We start from the raw sequence: 17,857 nt of genomic DNA, 5'->3' as shown, positions 1-17,857 counted from the left end.
CGCGAGCCAATGAGGAGTGGGCCGGGGAAGAGGGACAGGCGGCCAGCCTATGGGGCGGAGAGGCCCGGCCGCGCGTATCCAAGGAGCGCCGCGCTCGGCTCGGGGGTGTGGCGCGCGCCGGCGGGGGTGGGCGGGCGCGCCGGGCGGCAGGTGTCGGCGTCGGCGGCATTCGGCGGCGATGGAGCGGCCCTGGGGAGCTGCGGACGGCCTCTCGCGCTGGCCCCATGGCCTCGGCCTCCTCCTCCTCCTGCAGCTGCTGCCGCCGTCGACCCTCAGCCAGGACCGGCTGGACGCGCCGCCGCCGCCCGCTGCGCCGCTGCCGCGCTGGTCTGGCCCCATCGGGGTGAGCTGGGGGCTGCGGGCGGCCGCAGCCGGGGGCGCGTTTCCCCGCGGCGGCCGTTGGCGTCGCAGCGCGCCGGGCGAGGACGAGGAGTGCGGCCGGGTCCGGGACTTCGTCGCCAAGCTGGCCAACAACACGCACCAGGTGAGCGGGCGCCGGGCCCGGGAGCCGCTCGGGTGCGAGGTGCCGCCCGCGTGCCCCTCCCGGCCCGTGCGCCCCGCGACTCCCGGAGGAGACCCCAGCCCTGCCGCGCCCGCGTCCCCCGGGCCGCAGCCCCGAAACTGCGGCGGGCGGGCGGGCGGAGTCGGGCCCGGGCGGCCGGCGGGGCTGTGTTTTGTCATAGGGGAGGCAATCTTAGACTTCCACCGCATTCTTTTTTTTTTTTTTAAGTTGTCAAAATCTCTTGAACATCGTTTTTCGTCTGTATAAATAATCAGGACCCAGTAACGCTGTTAGGCCCCAGGAAGGTGAAGGAGTAATTAACTCTTGAGCGCTTGCAGAAGTTGGGCTGCGCAGAAGCAAAGGTGTGTCCTCTCTGGGTCAGTACTTTCCGGGTGGGAGAGGCGGGAGTTCAGGAGGCCCGAAGCAGCGATCTGGTCACCGTGTTTTAATAGTTAAGGGGACTAGCTTGGAAATGAGATGGCAATATTTATGTGATCTCTTTTACTGCTTCAGATTTGACCTTCTGTCATGGTACGGAAGTCTGACTAGCATGTCTATATCCCGTGGTGACAAGATTTTCAATAGTTAAGAAACGCATTGCACATATTCTGCTTTGAGCCAGCTCTTGGTCAAAAGACTTTCAAAATTATGGGATTTCTGTCCCTGGGGACAAGCAGCTCAACCTTTGCACACTACTGGACTGACAAAACTAATTATTAAGAAAGTCCTGGTTCCTTGCTTCAGCACAACTTGGGCATCTTTCTCCTATTTCTCTAAAATTAACAATTTAATCCTTGCTAGCCACATTTGCATAATGTATTTTCAATTCTATATATTTTCTCCCTTGCCTGTTTTCCTCTTTCAAAGAAAATGAATTGCACTTGGGGGCAGAGATGGGTGGCCAAGGCTCTGTGCCAGCACTTGTCCTTCTGTAACCGTTTTTCAGCGTCAGCCAAGCCTCAGTCTCCCTTTGGACTGCCTGGTTATCTGGACCATACTTGTTACCTGTAATAGAATTCTCTGATCTGAGGACACAAGACACAAATATTCAGGAATAATTGTGCTTAGTGTATCCCGAGCAGCAGCTGTGTAAAGGTAGCCAAGCTAGTGCTGGAGGGTGAGACAGGTTGGGTAGAATGAGTACTGGGAAGTCTTCCTACTTGATGAGAAAAAAAAATCGAATAGACTTCCTTCTCACAGTGGGGGATTGAGAAAGGCTTTACAACACTAATGCTTAATTTATACTGGACCACTTCCTTCCTTGAGCTAGCTGGTCACAGCATTCTTGCTCCATATTTCAAATTCTTCTCTCGCTGGTTGACCTAACTTTAGGTCTGCTGCTACTCCTGGATTTAGATTTACTCCTGTTTTTCTTTTTCTCTTTTTTTGTGAGATAGAGTCTTACCTCAGCCTCCTGAGTAGCTGGGACTACAGGTGTGCACCACTATGCCTAGCTAATTTTTGTGTAATTACTATTTTTTTTTTGAGATAGGGTCTCACTCTGTTGCCCAGGCTGGAATGCAGTGGTGTGATCACAGCTCACTGCAGCCCTGACCTCCTGGGCTCAAGTGATCCTCTCACCTCAGCCTCCCAAGTAGCCGGGACTACTGGTACATGCACCCAGCTAATTGTTCTTTTCTTTCTTTCTTTCTTTTTTTAAGAAACAGGGTTTTGCCATGTTCCCCAGGCTGGTCTTGAACTCCTGGGCTCAAGTGCTCCACCCACCTTAGCCTGCCACAGTGCTGAGATTAGAGGCGTGAGCCACTATGCCCTGCCTGGATTTATTCCTTGAGTCAGAGTCTTCCTGGTTAGTTTGAATTGATGTGTCATTTGTAATATATTGATTCCAAAGAAAGAGGTTGAAAAAACTGGCTCAGGGGTTCTAAGGCCAAATCTGTGGAAGAGTAGACCTAAAACCACTCATTCTTTGAAGTCCACATGTAAAGAAATTTTCTTCTATTTCTTTCATTTAGCTGTTTGCAATAATTTTTTTTTAGTTTTTCTCTCCCAGTCTTTTTTTCAGTGACCTTATTTAAAATAGCTATTTTGGCTGGGCACGGTGGCTCATGCCTGTAATCTTATCAATGTGGGAGGCCAAGGCAGGTGGATCACTTGAGGTCAGAAGTTCAAGACTAGCCTGGCCAACATGGTGAAACCCTGTCTCTACTAAAAATACAAAAGTTAGCCAGACGCGGTGGCATGCGCCTGTAATTCCAGTTATTCTGGAGGCTGAGGCATGACGATCACTTGAACCCAGGAGGCAGAGGTTGCAGCGAGCCGAGATCGCACCGTTGTACTCCAGCCTGGGTGACAGAGTGAGACTCTATCTCAAAAAAAAAAAAAAAAAAAAAAAAAAAAAAGTTTTTGCGTTTGTTAGTCATCCGTGGTCTCTTCTTCAGAGATCTCATCCTTTCTGTATCTGGTTAAAAAAAAAAAAAGTGGAGCCTTTGTTTAATATCATTTACCTTAAAAATGGTTAAGTAGTACTTCTTAACCAAGAATTGTTATGTAGTAGCCTGTTCTTCTGTTTATTTATTTGGTTTTAGAAGTCATAAAAAATCCTGAACTGTATTGAAGAGATCTAGTATTTTTGGACCGTTTATAAAACAGTGTGAAATAAAAGCATCAGCATGACAGAACAACTTTTTATCAGAGATATTGTACTTTGTACAACTGGGGAAGGAAGGTACATGTAGAATCATTTTTCCTACATAACATGACAGGATTCGAGTCCCAAGAAAAAGCAAAAGTTCATGGTTCTCTTATTTCTTTTAACTTGGTCCTGTTTCATTTCAAGCCACATTAATTCACATCATCAATGTATGTGAATGCCCTCCAAATGCCTAGATCTGTGCTAGATGCTGGGGTGCCAAGATACAAAGAAAAGATCATTCAGACTGGAGAATGAAAAGCCTCAGAAGGTTATAGCAAACTACTAGACCTGTGTCTGTGGCTTATGAGGATATATTAGCATTTAACCTGTCTTCTCAAGAAAGCACGGTAAAGCTAAAGCATAATAGTGCGTTTATATTACGGTTTAAGGAGACCGGTGTCCTGATGACCACTCAGGCTTCTCTGTCCATGAAATCCAGCAGGTTTTTCTCTTTGCCCAAGCCTCCCTTTTTCTCTCTAAGGTTTTTTTTCTCATATCATTTCTTTTCAATCTATTAATTTAAAATATATTTAAAGTGCATTGGGTTTATTACACACAGCATATATTTTTTCACATAGAAGTCCTAATGATTAAGTGCTTTATTTTAGGAGTTGAGGCAGGAGAGGAAAACATTTTCCTTTCTAGTTACAGTATTACAAGTTAGCTATAATAGACTCATGGGAAAGTGGAAATAAAAAATACTGGCTATTACTAAAAAAACAAACAAAAGGGATGACAAGAAAACGAAGGAGAAAGATAAATAGTTATAACTTTCCAAAAATTATGCTCCCTAATTTTGTTCTAAGGGTTTGACTTACCATGGTAAGGTGGTATAGCACTGCCTTATCTGGACTGCCTGCATTTGAACCCTGGCCATGTCACTGTGTGATCCTGGGTGAGTTACTTAAGTTTTCTGTGTCTCAGTTCCTAATCTGTAAAGTGAAGATAAGAGCACTTAATTTGTAGGGTGGTTGTGAGAATTAAATGAGTGTGTGTTAAATTATATATACATAATATATACGTATATGTATATTATTGTATAAATATATATTTGTATTACATAATATATGCATATGTAATATTGTATTTGTAATGAGTTATAGTATGTATTACAACATATCACATTGTGTTGTATAATCTATACATATGTAATAACTCATTAGAAGAATGTCTGGCACATAATTAGCACTCAGCAATTAGCTATCATTTATAAATGCTCTCTTCTTAGACTCAATAATCTTCCTTTTGCCTGGAACTCAAAACTGTTTTCATGCCACATTTTTAACTGATTCTTTCCTTCAGCTGCTTGGAGTATTCATGACATGTATAACCTTTGTACATGCGTGAAATTGAGCAGGCCTAGAAGACTTTATTGTTGGTTACTAAGTTGGATTGCTTCAAAACATTTCTGCTGTAAGCACCCCTTTGAGGGTAGGCATGAAACTGTCTTAAAGGAACAGATGAAATGCCTTGGCCAGAGTTGTGGTGGTGGCTGACATAATTTCCTTACTTCTCATTCCTGTGTACAGACCATTTGACAATTTCCTTAAAACTTTTTAAACTTATGATGAATAAAGCCAGGAACTCTTGCTTATTTTCTGTCCTCCCTCTGCTCCTGTCACTAACTACTTCTGTAAACATAACTTCCCAACTTCTACTCCAACTTTAAAGCATCTGGTTCCTTAAATAAACAGGCCCTGTAGAGAGGCCGTGTTGTATGGGGTGTCAGCTCTGGGAAGAATGCGTGTGTTTGTTTGCTGGCTCTGGCAGGGTTGAGTCCAAGCTGACAGGACTGAGTGTGCCTGTCAGAGGCTTCAGGGAGCTGCCGCTGAAGACCTCGGCCTGTTGTTGTGAATCGCCAGACCTTTGTAACACCCGGAAGTCTGAAGGTCAGTCCTTTAATGCCCCGGAACTTCCTAACTGCCTCATTTCTTCCAATACTTGGCCTCTCTTCATCCTACCTTCCCTAGCACCCCCAGCCGTCTAGCTTATTTAATAGTCTCTTGAGTTCTGTTTCTTCCATTCAGCTTTGGATCAAGGAGTAGGAACTCTGTAGGATCTCCTTCTTGGTCCTGGTTGAGCAGAGTGAGCGAAACCTTCATGAAGAGTCTTCTCTCATGCAATGTATAGTCAGACCTTTAGCCCCTAGAGGGATGTTAAAATGACTTATGCATTGGATATTTCAGTAAGAAGTATCAGCAGATTTGATGAAGTGTAATTTATCTGGGGAAAGGTTAGTCTTCATCTGAAGTTTGGTTGGGATGAGAGTAGAAAGCTAGCCAGGTATGACAGATGGCTCCAAGGGAATGCAGTGTTAACAATTAGGTAAGTTCTCTGCTGACTCAAATGTTTGGCTCTGTGCACAGTGATTTTTAATTAGAAATCTGAGTCTCATGTCTGCTTGTGGAAATAATTGGAAGAAGGCTTATGTTCTGTTCAATTTCTAATGGCTATTTTCTTTTTGTGATTATTAACAACAATAATAGGCTTTCTATCCTGCTGTTTTGATCAGATCTTTCATGTCAGGGTCACAGATACTATTAGCAGTTTCTTCTGCACTCTGCCAGTTTCCAGTCAACTCTCGTCAACAGGCATTGGGTTCTCAGTGGGTGACTGCAGAGTCTGCGTTCCCCAACTTTGTCCCAGTTGGCCTGTTACCCTTGTGTGACCATCACATGCTGGGCAGTGCTTAGCACCAAGTTGTAATGGTCAGGACGGGGGAGTAACGTTTGTTCTTCTCCCTCCTTCCTACCTAATCCTACCCCTCAATTTTTTTTACAGAAAGTGAACTATGTTTTGAGGCTGCAGAAATGAGGCTCAGATATTTTATATAATTAGGAGCTAATATTAAGGCAGACAAAGCCATCACATTTGACATGTAATTTAAAATACAGCTTTTCTAGAAACAACAAAACTGTGGCAATGGCTCTGACAATATTATGAACTAGATACTGCATTTGTAGATTTCTACAAGTTTCAGTTCCCTTTCTCTCCTTTTGTCATCAGTGTTTTTATTGCATCTTTTACTTCTATTTTTAAAAACTTGGTGAAAACTTGTTCTTCCCACTATGTGGTCTCAGTGATTTGTATGCAGGTGGATTTGAGGATTAATGGGGCTTGAAGAACAAGCTGATCAATTTCAGTCAGTTCTAGGCAGCTTTTTTGTTCTTGTTTCAATGGTGACTGCAGTCAAAGTTGGGTTAGTAATATGTTGCTTTGAGATAGTTTGGTTGAATGAATGTTCATGACAGATTCCTCATACCTATGAAAATTTTTAGGTGAAAGATGGAGGCTGTTTTTCCTTCTCTATCCCCAATCTCAATCTCAGGAAACCACAGTAAAAACAAAATCCTTCCACTCAGAACCTGTCGTGTTTTGCCGAGGAAGTTTTCTGTGAATGTAACTTATTTTCTGTTTTGTGTTTTAGTCTCTGGCCCTCGATTCCTCATCTACAGCACAAGAAGTTTTGGACTAGCTTTAAAATTTCTTTCAAAAATTCTATGATTCATATGGGAGAGGCCAGAGGTTGTGATCACAAATGTTTTCCTGGCTGATTCCAAATTTAGAAGCAAACTGTGGCTGTTTGACTTCCCAGTCAAACTTGAACATAGCATGGATTTCACATTTAGGGGTGTTTTACTACCACCTCCAGAACTTGCTTCAGTGAAATATGCATGTTCTTAAAGATAGCAGGAGTACTTTTTTTCATGTAGTTATGAAAGACATTTTTCTCTTTTATTTTGGGGGTAATATTTTACCGTTTGTTCCTTGTTGGCTGAAAAATCTAATGCTAATAAAAGCTACTAGCTTGAATAGTCCAAAAGCAAACCCAACAGATAGCAGTAAATTCATTTTTCTTTTTCCCTTTCCTATAGTACTCTGCCAAAACTGGGGCTTTTTTTCTTCATCCTGGCTGCCTGTGTGTTTGAAAATAGATGGTCAGCTTACCATAAATATATTCACATGTAGAAACTTATATGTGATTAATTGGCTTGATTTATTTTTATCAGAAGAAAACGTATGTATGTTCCTTCTCTGGCTTATGAATACTATCCGTCTTATGTTTGCTTTGGATAAGCATTTTAGTCTTCCTGTATGTCCTAAAACGCGCGCGCGCACACACACACACACACACACACACACATACACACACACACACACACTTTCTAATATTGTACTGAAGCCAGTTTGCAAGTCTGGTTCCACAGTACAATTGCTCTGAAGGACCAGGAGAAATTGAACTGGGAAGGAAAATTTGTATTAACTTCAATAATTCCCAGACAAGTTAGTTCAAATCATTTTTATCTAGTATTTGCTATTTGTCACAAAGGATTCAAAACATAAATATGTTGTATACAAAATCTCAAAGAGATGTCTCAATACCCAGATTTGGGTCCTGGCTCTGCTGCTTCATAGCTGTGTGATTATGGAAAATCACTTAACTTCAGTGGTCTTTACAGTTGTTTTTTAAACTAGAGCAGCAGCTCTTAGGATTGTTTGGAGGGTCAAATGAGAAGTTTTATCAACGTGTTTTGTTAAAGGTAAAGTACTATATAGATGTCATTCATTTAGACACTTACTGAGCTGCCTGCCATGTACTGAGTGGAGTCCAGACCTGTGCATAAACAAAGCAAAGCACTGGGGCTATCTTAAGGATTTAGGTGTTCAGAGATGTTTCACTGGGAGTTTGGAAGAAGGCTTGACCACTGCAGTGCAGTGTTCTGGGAAAGCCCTCTGGCTGAAGAGAGAATCAAAGTGGAGGTGATTTTTAGGGAGATCTGTAACGGCACGAAGGAAGTAGGAAAATCCAAGATATGTTCAAGGGATGGTCAACAGAAACTTTATTTTAGGGTGAGGTAGTTGATGGGGAGTATGACTAAGGTTTCCAGGAAAACATATAGGGAAGTTAAAAAAAAGATAGCTCTTTTGTGGGGGATGGAAAGAGAGGAGGGGCGTGGGTAGTGAGTTTGGCAAAAGGACTTACTTGTGAAAGAGAGAGTTTTAACAGATAGTGCTAGACATGAGGCTAGAGCTGGAGGAACCAGAGGTAGAAATGGGGAGCCAAGAAGAGTTCCCCTTTCAGAGGCCGGCCATTGCTTTGGTCTTGGATGTGAAGGTCCCAGAGGAAAGCAGAACAGAAGGTGAGGCAGACCATCCTTTATACTTGAAGTGCTAACGTTTCCAAAAAGCACTCCTAAACTTCTGGACCTGGTTGAAGAAGAATGTGAGCCAAGGCATGAGGAAGCCAGGAGCTGTAAGACAGTGATGCCTATGAACAGATTTTTCTGAACATTTGTGAACAAGGATAAGGTTGAACTCTTGCTGATAATGTGCTTAATGGTTTGAATCATGGATTATTGGGCCGATTAGCTGGTCAGAGCCCTTTTGCTGATGCGGCTGGCTGACTTGCTTACTGGCCAAGAGCTGGGAGTAGAACACAGATGTCCCAACATGGTGCTGCATTTGGAAGTGTTTCATAGGAGTGTTGAAATCAATGCATTTGCTTTAGGGATAAGGCAAAGTTATGAGATCCCAGTTATAAGTAATATAGTTGTGAATTCTACTCTTTTTCTCAAGGTCATAGTACCCTCAACAGAGCTCAACTAGCCTTTCTAGGCCTCAGTTTCCCGTCACATAAAATGGAGGATTATCATGAAGTTTTGAAGGGAAGATATATGTGAAAATATTTTGAAACCTTGAAGTACCGTATGAGTATGATTTGTATAATTCCTTAATAAACCTGCTGATGTGTCACAGCCCCCACAGGGCCTGCTTGTCAGCCAGGTGATCCTGATAGATACAGCCCTTGAGCCAAACCCTGAGGAGCATGTGTATTAAAGCAGACGGATGAGGCATAAATGCGTTTGGTTTATCACTTGGCAGAGTTGGATGACAGGCTTGGGTGGGGGTGGCAAGAATTAAAGTGAGTCAAGATTGGCAGAAATGTAAGACGTGTATGTAGTGGTTTTCTTCTTTTTTTAAGCCTTTGTGATTATGTCAAACTTTTGTTAATATAATTGATGATGGTTTGAGGCAGTAGTTTGGGGGAACAGGATCTCAGGTATTAGATCTGGATTCAAACTTCAGTGGTGACCATGGACAAATTAACCTCTCTGAACCTTAGATTTTTCATCTATGAAATGGGAGTACTAATACTACCTCTTAGGGTCATTGTGAAGATAGTACAGGATTTAGTGTATATTCTTTTGTTGAGGATTTCTTGTAATGATTTTCATTACAAAGCTTCTGACACATTACCAGTTAGATGCTTAAATATTTGTACATGTGCTTAATTTTTTTCATATCTCTAATATTTCTAGAGAATTATTATAGGTACTCACAAGAACTGCATCTGGATTAAGACATATTAGCCCTGGCTAAGCAGGGTGACTCACACCTATAATCCCAAGATTTTTGGAGTCTGAGGCAAGAGAATCACTTGAGCCCATGAGTTTGAAACCAGCCTGGGCAACATAGTGAGACCCCATCTGTATAAAAAAATTTTTTTAATTAGCCTGGTATGGTAGCATATGCCGGTAGCCCTAGCCACACAAGAGTCTGAGGTGAGGGGATCACTTGAGCCCAGGAGTTTTGAGGCTGTCGTGAGCTATGATTGCGCCGCTGCATTCCAGTCTGGGCAACAGAGCGAGATACTGTCTTCCAAAAATACAAAAAAATTTATTAGGGGTAGGTAGTGGTGCACATCTAGAGTTCCAGCTATTTGGAAGGCTGAGGCAGGAGGATAGCTTGAGCCCAGGAGTTCAAAGCTATAGGACACTGTGATCGCATCTGTGAATAACCACTGTACGCCAGCCTGGGCAACATAGTGAGGTCCCATATCTAAAAGGAAAAAAAAATGTACTACTTGTATCACTGGACTCAGGATGAAAAAAGAGGAGGGTGGGAGATAGGTTTAGGCAGAGATCATCTATTCAAAATGCCTTTCTTTCTTTTTCTTTTTTTTTTGAGACAGGGTCTCGCTCTGTTGCCCAGGCTGGAGTGCAGTGGCACTATCTCGGCTCACTGCAACCTCCGCCTCTGGGGCTCAAGCAGTTCTCTGCCTCAGCCCCCCAAGTAGCTGGGATTACAGGTGCCCGCCACCACACCCGGCTAATTTTTGTATTTTTAGTAGAGATGGGGTTTCACCATCTTGGCCAGGCTGGTCTTAAACTCCTGACCTCGTGATCCACCCACCTCGGCCCCAAAGTGTTGGGATTGCAGGCGTGAGCCACCGCGCCCAGCCCAAAATGCCTTTCTTGAAGCTATGGGAGATAGAGAAGAAAATAATCAGATTAATAATCAGAAAACAGTAATCAGATACCTGGTCATCTGGTTATAATAGCTTCAAGCATATATGGTTAAATAGTTTTTGTTTTGTTTTAAAACAAAATTTTAAATTTTAAACAAAATTTAAAAATTTAAGAGACATGGTCTTTACTGTGTCACCCAGACTGGAGTGCAGGGGTGTAATCATGGTTTGTTGTAACCTTGAATTCCTGGGCTCAAGTGATCCTCCTGCCTCAGCCTCTGCAGTAGCTAGGACTACAGGCACATATCCCTGTGCCTGGCTAGTAAATAGGTTGAAATAACTTAAAGTTATTTATTTTTATTTATTTATTTTTTGAGACTGAGTCTCACTGTTGTCCTGGCTGGATGGAGTACAGTGGCATGATTTCAGCTCACTGCAACCTCTGCCTCCTGGGTTCAAGTGATCCTCCTGCCTCAGCCTCCAAAGTAGCTGGGACTGCAGATGTGCACCACCACACCTGGCTAATTTTTGTATTTTTAGTAGAGATGGGGTTTCACCATGTTGGCCAGGCTGGTCTTGAACTCCTGACCTCAGGTGATCTGCCTGCCTCAGCCTCCCAAAGTGCTGGGATTACAGGCATGAGCCACTGCACCTGACCAAATTATTTTTTAAAGACTATAATTTAATAACAATTTTTCTTCCCCTTCATTAAGCTTTAATTTGTTAAGAGTTAATGGCTCTGGTTTAAGTTGATAGCTCTGAAATAGCACCTTGCATATTTCACCCCTTTCTTTAACTGAGCAGCTGCTGTTAGCTTTGCACTCTACTGATCTCTGTGAAGTTTCAAGAAATATTAGTGAAATGTGATAGGTACTTCTTAGGAACTTTGCTTGAAAGAATAGCGGACCAGAATGTTGATGGAATTATTTTTTATTATGTGCATATTGCTTTTTTAAACTTTTAACAATTATTTAAAAATAGAGATGAGGTCTTACTATGCTGCCTAGGCTGGTCTGGGATTCCTGGGCTCAAGTGATCCTTCCGCCTGGGCCTCCCAAAGTGCTAGGAGTATAGGTGTGAGCCACCACACCTGGCCTATGTGCATATTTATTTAACCTACTATTTCACCACTTCCTGGCCTATATTAACCCTCTGTTCCAGTTAAAGTGATCTTCTAACCAGTCCCTTCAGCTCCCCATATGGTCTGTTGCTTCTCCATCTTTGTTTTCATGGGTTTCTTCCTGTCTGAATGCCCTTCTAGCCCTTGTTAGTTTTTCCTGTTCTCTTCTATAATTTTGGACTGTGCCATGTAATACAACACTTCTGTCTTGTGTTCAGTTTCATTTATAGAAGTTTTACTCCCTAAATGATAAACTCCTTAAAGGTAGGGCCCAGCTTGTACTATGAGTCCTTCATCACTTTTGCCTCCCACAATGCTGAAGAAAGAGTAGTCATGAAATGTGTAGTCTGGAGTCAGACAGACATGAGATTGAAACCTTGCTCTGCCACTTACCAACTTTTTGACTTTGAGCAAATTACTTAACGCCTCTGAGCCTGCTGCTTTCTTTATAAATTAACAGTGAGTACCTTAATATATAATACTAATATAATAAGTGCTTAGTAAAGGTTAAATATTATTGTTTTTCTTTAATTCAGCAGTTGTTTGTCGAGCACCTATACACATGAGGCACTTATCAGGTCCTGGGAACTGGTGTAGAACACCAGACCTCTGCCTTGATGGAACTTTATGGACCAATAGAGAAAATGGCACTAAATGATATATAATTATAAATGTAGTAATTACCAAGAAGAAAAATAGTAACCACAGGAATAATTGACAGGTCTTTTTTAGTCTGGGGCATTAGGAAAGATTCACTGAGAAATTATTTAAACTGATACTTGAATAGAATTTTGCCAGGAAGAGTATCTCAGGCAGAGAGAACAACATGTTCATAAGGCCTGGGTCTAGAAAGAGCTTGGCATACTCCAGGATCTGGAAGAAGGCCAGTGTGGTTGTAGCAGAGGGAATGGGGGAAGGGGTTAGCGCCCACACCCAAGGGAGAAGCAGCAAGCCTTTATGGTTCTCTCGGCTCAGTCAGCTGGCAACTGGAGCATATCTCTCTGTCACTTTCTTTTCTTTAAAATGAACTAAGATATAACAATTAAATGCAAAAATTATGAAATGTAGCTATTTATTGAGAAATGAATTGTTTCATGGAAGTGACTTTCAAAAACTAAGCCTACCCTTTTATAAGTGCCAAAGGTTTTTTGTTTGCTTGCTTTTTTAATGGAAATCTTTCTAATATACTTCTCTGCCTTCTTGGTCAACAGTATGAGCCTAGGTCACTAAGAAGAGAATAAATTATGCTATACCAGGACTGCTGTGGTTTGAATGTGCCTCCCCAAATTCATGTTTTAGGAACTTAATCGTCAATGTAACAGTATTAAGTGGTGGGTCTTTAAGAGGTATTATATCATGAGGGCACCAACTCATGAATGGATTAAGGCCTTTATCCCAGGAGTGGGTTAATTATAATAGGGAGAGAGTTTGGTCCTATTTCTTTTCTTTTTGTTGTTGTTGTTGTTGTTGAGACAGAGTCTCACTCTATTGTCCAGGCTGGAGTGCAGTGTTGTGATCTCAGCTCACTGCAACCTCCGCCTCCCAGGTTCAAGGGATTCTCGTGCCTCTGCCTCCCAAGTAGCTGGGATTACAGGTGTACGCCACCACACCTGGCTAATTTTTGCATTTTTAGTAGAGATGGGGTTTCACCATGTTGCCCAGGCTGGTTTCAAACTCCTGACCTCAAGTGATCCACCTGCCTTGGCCTCCCAAGTGCTGCAATTACAGGCGTGAGCTACCATGCCTGGCCTGGTCCTATTTCTTTTCTGTGTCTCCTGTGCTTGCTTCCACTTTCTGCCATGGGATGATCCTCTGCAGATGCCTATGCCATACTCTTGGACTTCACAGCCTCCAGAACTGTGAGCTACATAAACGTCTTTTCTTTATAAATTGCCCTGTCTTGGATATTCTCTTATAGCAACTGAAAATGGACTAAGACAATGACTCACAGTATTTTAATGTGGTATGACATTTAATACCCACAGGAGCTATTGAGATATGTGGGGCTATCTTCTCCCATTTCAGATGTCCTGGATTATAAACTTAATGCCATTGTCTGCCTGTTTGCTTCTTTGCTGCAGAAATGATATTCCCTTTGTAATTCCTCTTGTAATATCCTCTTCCTCTTGCTGTTGTCCCTGTCTGTCTCTACATATATCACCCTCAAATTTGATTTGCTTCCTCTCTATGCTGAGAAAGCAGATTTCTAATATTAGACAATTCTAACCGGTTTAATAAATTGAATTAGAGTGATGGTCTGCAAATTTCTCTTAGAAGTCAAATGCACAGATTTTTAATGCATGATAGTGACATCAGAGGTCTCCTTGCTTCTTTTCGGTGAGTATCCGGGTTGCTGAGGCATCTGAATCATGGAGGTTGCTGTTGCCCCTCTCCTTTGAACACTGGCTTATTGTGGAGCAGGGAGCTGATCTCGAAAACAACAAAAACCCAGATACATAGCAGTTGAAAAGCAAACTGAGTGGCTAAATTATTGATGAGTCATAGAATTTTAAAGCTTAGAGAGACTGGAAAGATTGTCATTCTAGCCCCCGCACTTCGGTAATGATGTCAGGTTGTGCTGCCCAATTTCACGCAGCGTTTTGTAGAGCTGGAAATAAAATTTGGGTTGACTGATTATTAGCCTGGTACTCTCCTCTGTATCATGCTCCCTCAGAAAACTCTGAATAATTAAATAGATTTGGAAACTTGTACATTATTTTGTAGTTAATTTTTTCATTTCCAAGAATAGACTTCATGAGAACTGGGACATTTGTGATCTTATTTCTGGCTCATGTTTTATGATTCTAGCAGTGCCTAATTTAACAGAACTATATTCTGTTAGGATTTTCTTCCTGCCTGCAAAAGCATCACTCAGGTTGTGTTCTAGGCCTCACTGGAGTTTGGAAGCCTAATCCTAGATGGGCAGTCTGTATGGGATCACCGATGCCTTGCCTTTGTAATTCTCAGTTTTACCCCTGAGGAAATGGATTCCCAACAGATAAGATGATTTGTGCTTACCTTCCCAACCAGTTAGTTACTGAGCTAGGCTTAACGTTCTTTTGTAGTTTTATTTTCATTGTGACAGGCTGACTTCTGTAGATTAAAAGTCTAGTATGTTTAGCCTTTATTTTTAGATTTCTGTACATAAGATGCCTGTTGATAGGTTATAATCTTCAGTAGCTCAGAGCATGTATTATCACAGCACATGGTAGGCATGCAGACATATTTGTTGAAAGAGGGCAGGTATGTGAAGAATGCCATCATTGAATTCACTTCCTTCTTTGCTTGTCAAAAAGGCTGCTCCTGATGGGGTCAGGCCATCAGCAAGTGGCTTTTAAGCTGGGCCTTGCCTTGGGAAAACTGACCCACATGCAATAGTGCAGGTGTTAGTTTTTTCAGTGTTTTATTTTTGATCATGTGTGTAACTAAACATGTAAGTTTCTCATGACTGGATTTTTTTCCAACCTACAGTGACTCTTGGGACCAACTTTAAATTTTCCAAGCTTATAGTAACAGTAATTTAATTTGGTTTCTAGTTTAATTAGATGGGAAGATGGTTGTTTCCATGAAGAATCTTGTGAACAGAACCTAGGGGGTATTCAGACGATCGTAGAAATGAACATTGTGCTAATTCATGAACTCTAAAGTATGGGGGCCCCCTGCTTTAAGATGGTAGGCAATAAATGCTTGGATGAGTCTTATATCATCCGTTTTCAAGGTGGATGCATTTTAGAGAAGGTAGTACAAGCTGTCCCCTGCTTTCTAACATAATGAATTCCTGAAAACCTATTTGACAGTCAGATGGCAACTATAAATGCCAGCCAGTTACTTCTGCTTCCCAGAGCTCCCCTACCGAGGGCAGTAGATGGCTGTTGGTACCATCTGGGACACCAGAAATCACTGTTCAATAGGTAATGGACAAAAGGCTCTGAATGTGACTCTGAAAAGGAAGTTTAGTGTTATCAGTCATTAATGATATTAGGAGGTCTACCTTACATCAAGACCACCTATGTTCCTGTGCCTCAGTGTAGCAGGGGCTCTTTGACCTATCCTGTAACCTTCTGGTATATCTGTTAACTAGTGTAATATAAATAAGAATAAACTAACATGCGTCCAGGCGTGGTGGTTCACACCTGTAATCCCAGCACTTTGGGAGGCTGAGGCAGACAGATCACTTGAGGTCAGGAGTTTGAAACCATCCTGGCCAACATGGTAAAACCCCATCTCTACTAAAAATACAAAAATTAGCCAGGCATGGTGGCATGCACCTGTAATCTTAGCTACTGGGAAGGCTGAGGCATGAGACTTGCTTGAACCCAGAAGGTGGAGGTTGCAGTGAGCTGAGATCATGCCATTGCACTCCAGCCTGGGCAACAGAGTGAGACTTTGTCCCAAAAAAGAATAAATAGATAAACTGATATGGTCTATGTGTACTTTTTATATCACCCTTTCCTTTATACTTTTTCTTTCCTTCCTTTTTTTTTTAAGTAAAAATAGCTTACTTATATAGTTTTATTTTTAAAATGATTTCTGCCAATTGGAGGTGGGATGAGAGTAATTTATGCACTCTAGAAAAACTATAAAGAAGAGTGCACCCCTATCAATTCTATAATACCACTTAAAGACAGTTGCTATTGATATTTTAAAGGGTATCCTTCCAGATACCTTTTTTTTTTCTTTTTTAAGGGACAATCTTGCTCTGTCATCCAGACTAGAGTGCAGTGGCACAATCATGGCTGACTGTAGCCTTGACCTCCTGGGCTCAAACAGTGTATCTGGGACGACAGGTGCTTGCCACCATGCCTGGCTAGTTTTTATTGTTGTTGTTATTGTTGGTTTTTTGGAGGCAAAGTCTCACTATGTTTCCCAGGCTGGTCTCAAACTCCTGAGCTTAAGCAATTGTTCTGCCTCATCCTCCCAAAGTACTAGGATTATAGGTGTGAGCCACTGTGCCCGGCCCCTGATAACATTGTAACCATAAATATGCACATATGATGTCACATGCTGTTTTGTAGCCTGCTTTTTACTAATATGCTCTGAGTATCTTTCAATGTCAGTAAATACCTGAAACATTTTAGTTTTGGGTTTTTTAAGATTTTTTTAAACGTTTCTTCTTTTTTTCCTTGTTCTTGAAACATTTTTAATAGCACCTGATATATTGTTGTATGGCATAACATAATTTACTTAACAAATCTCCAGTTCTTCATTTATAATATACAGGTATAGTAATATCTCATGGGGTTATGTGGATTAAATAATAATGTGTGTAAGATACCTAACACAGAAGATGACATGTGGGGAATGTTCAATAGTTGTTAGCTGCAGTAATCACCCCAACATATGACATCTTTTATAAAGGTATGTGATTATCCCCTTATGACAAATTCCTAAGAATAGGATTTGCTCAGGCACATGATACGGACGTTCTCAGTTTTTATTTGCATCACCAAATAGCTCTCCAGAAAAGTTGCAGCAATTTATGTACTCCCACCCACCGTAGAAGAAGGTGCTCTGGTCCCTATGCCCTCACTGGATACATTTTGTCAAGTCTTTTAATCTTTGCCAGTCTGAAAGGCAAAAATGTCATATTTTTCTTTTTCTTTCTTGGCTCACTACAACCTCTACTTCCTGGGCTCAAACCACCCTCCCATCTCAGCCTCCTGAGTAGCTGGGACTACAGGTGCACACCACCATACCCGGCTAATTTTTTTTTTTTTTTTTTTTTTTTTTTTTGTGGCGACAGGGTTTTGCCATGTTGCCCAGGCTGGTCTCAAACTCCCAGGCTCAAGTGATCCTCCCGCCTTGGCCTCCCAAAGCCTGGGATTACAGGTGTGAGCCACTGCACCGGCCTGTTCTTTTTGTTTTAGAGATTAAATAGCTTTTCAAATGTTTATTGGCCATTTCTTTGTCCTTCTATGAATTGGGTGCTCATGTTCTTTCCCTATTTTCCGAAAACCTGTTTGAGGTTTTGGCCTGTTTCCTACTGATTTGAAAACCCTTTCTATATTAATATTTTGTCATGTTACAAATAATTTTATATTAATTGAAACCCTTTCTATATTAATACTTTGTCATGTTACAAATATTTTTTTCCAGTTTTTTTCAGCTTTCTCTTTGGTGTTTTGCAATTTAAACTTTTTACATAGTCAGAGTAAATCCTTAAGTATGAGTTCTGATTTTTGTACCATTTTTGTAAAGGTCTTCCCATTCCAAGGTTATAAAAATATTCGCTTATACTTCTAGTATCATTTTTTGACACAGGGTCCCACTCTGTCACCCAGGCTGGAGTACAGTGGTGCCATCACAGATCACTACAGCCTCGAACTCCCAGGC

The 17,857-nt window shown here is 41.8% G+C and overlaps 1 protein-coding gene across 4 annotated transcripts in view, besides 3 other annotated features; it reads left to right on the top strand.

Moving 5' to 3' along the window:
* Nucleotides 27-156: a silencer, noted in NCBI's record as "silent region_1149". NCBI's record gives its function as "represses an Ori minimal core promoter by ATAC-STARR-seq in GM12878 lymphoblastoid cells {active_cell/tissue: GM12878}" and the evidence as "EXISTENCE:reporter gene assay evidence [ECO:0000049][PMID:35858748]".
* The window catches only part of SORT1 (sortilin 1), an 88,344-nt gene continuing 70,639 nt past the window's right edge, over nt 153-17,857 (top strand). For 2 of the 4 annotated variants that reach the window (XM_005271100.3, NM_002959.7), the window contains exon 1: nt 153-484. In XM_005271100.3, the coding sequence (XP_005271157.1) occupies nt 179-484 (306 nt within the window). In that variant the 5' untranslated portion in view covers nt 153-178. Of the gene's footprint in view, nt 485-4,935; nt 5,045-17,857 lie in introns of those variants that run through there. The other 2 variants (NM_001205228.2, XM_005271101.4) reach the window with 1 other exon arrangement.
* Nucleotides 197-266: a silencer, noted in NCBI's record as "silent region_1148". NCBI's record gives its function as "represses an Ori minimal core promoter by ATAC-STARR-seq in GM12878 lymphoblastoid cells {active_cell/tissue: GM12878}" and the evidence as "EXISTENCE:reporter gene assay evidence [ECO:0000049][PMID:35858748]".
* Nucleotides 277-376: a silencer, noted in NCBI's record as "silent region_1147". NCBI's record gives its function as "represses an Ori minimal core promoter by ATAC-STARR-seq in GM12878 lymphoblastoid cells {active_cell/tissue: GM12878}" and the evidence as "EXISTENCE:reporter gene assay evidence [ECO:0000049][PMID:35858748]".

The sequence above is a fragment of the Homo sapiens genome, chromosome 1, assembly GCF_000001405.40.
Source record: "Homo sapiens chromosome 1, GRCh38.p14 Primary Assembly".
NCBI lineage: Eukaryota > Metazoa > Chordata > Mammalia > Primates > Hominidae > Homo > Homo sapiens.
Note: the sequence above shows the minus strand (reverse complement) of the source record. Positions and strands in the feature narration are given on the sequence as shown.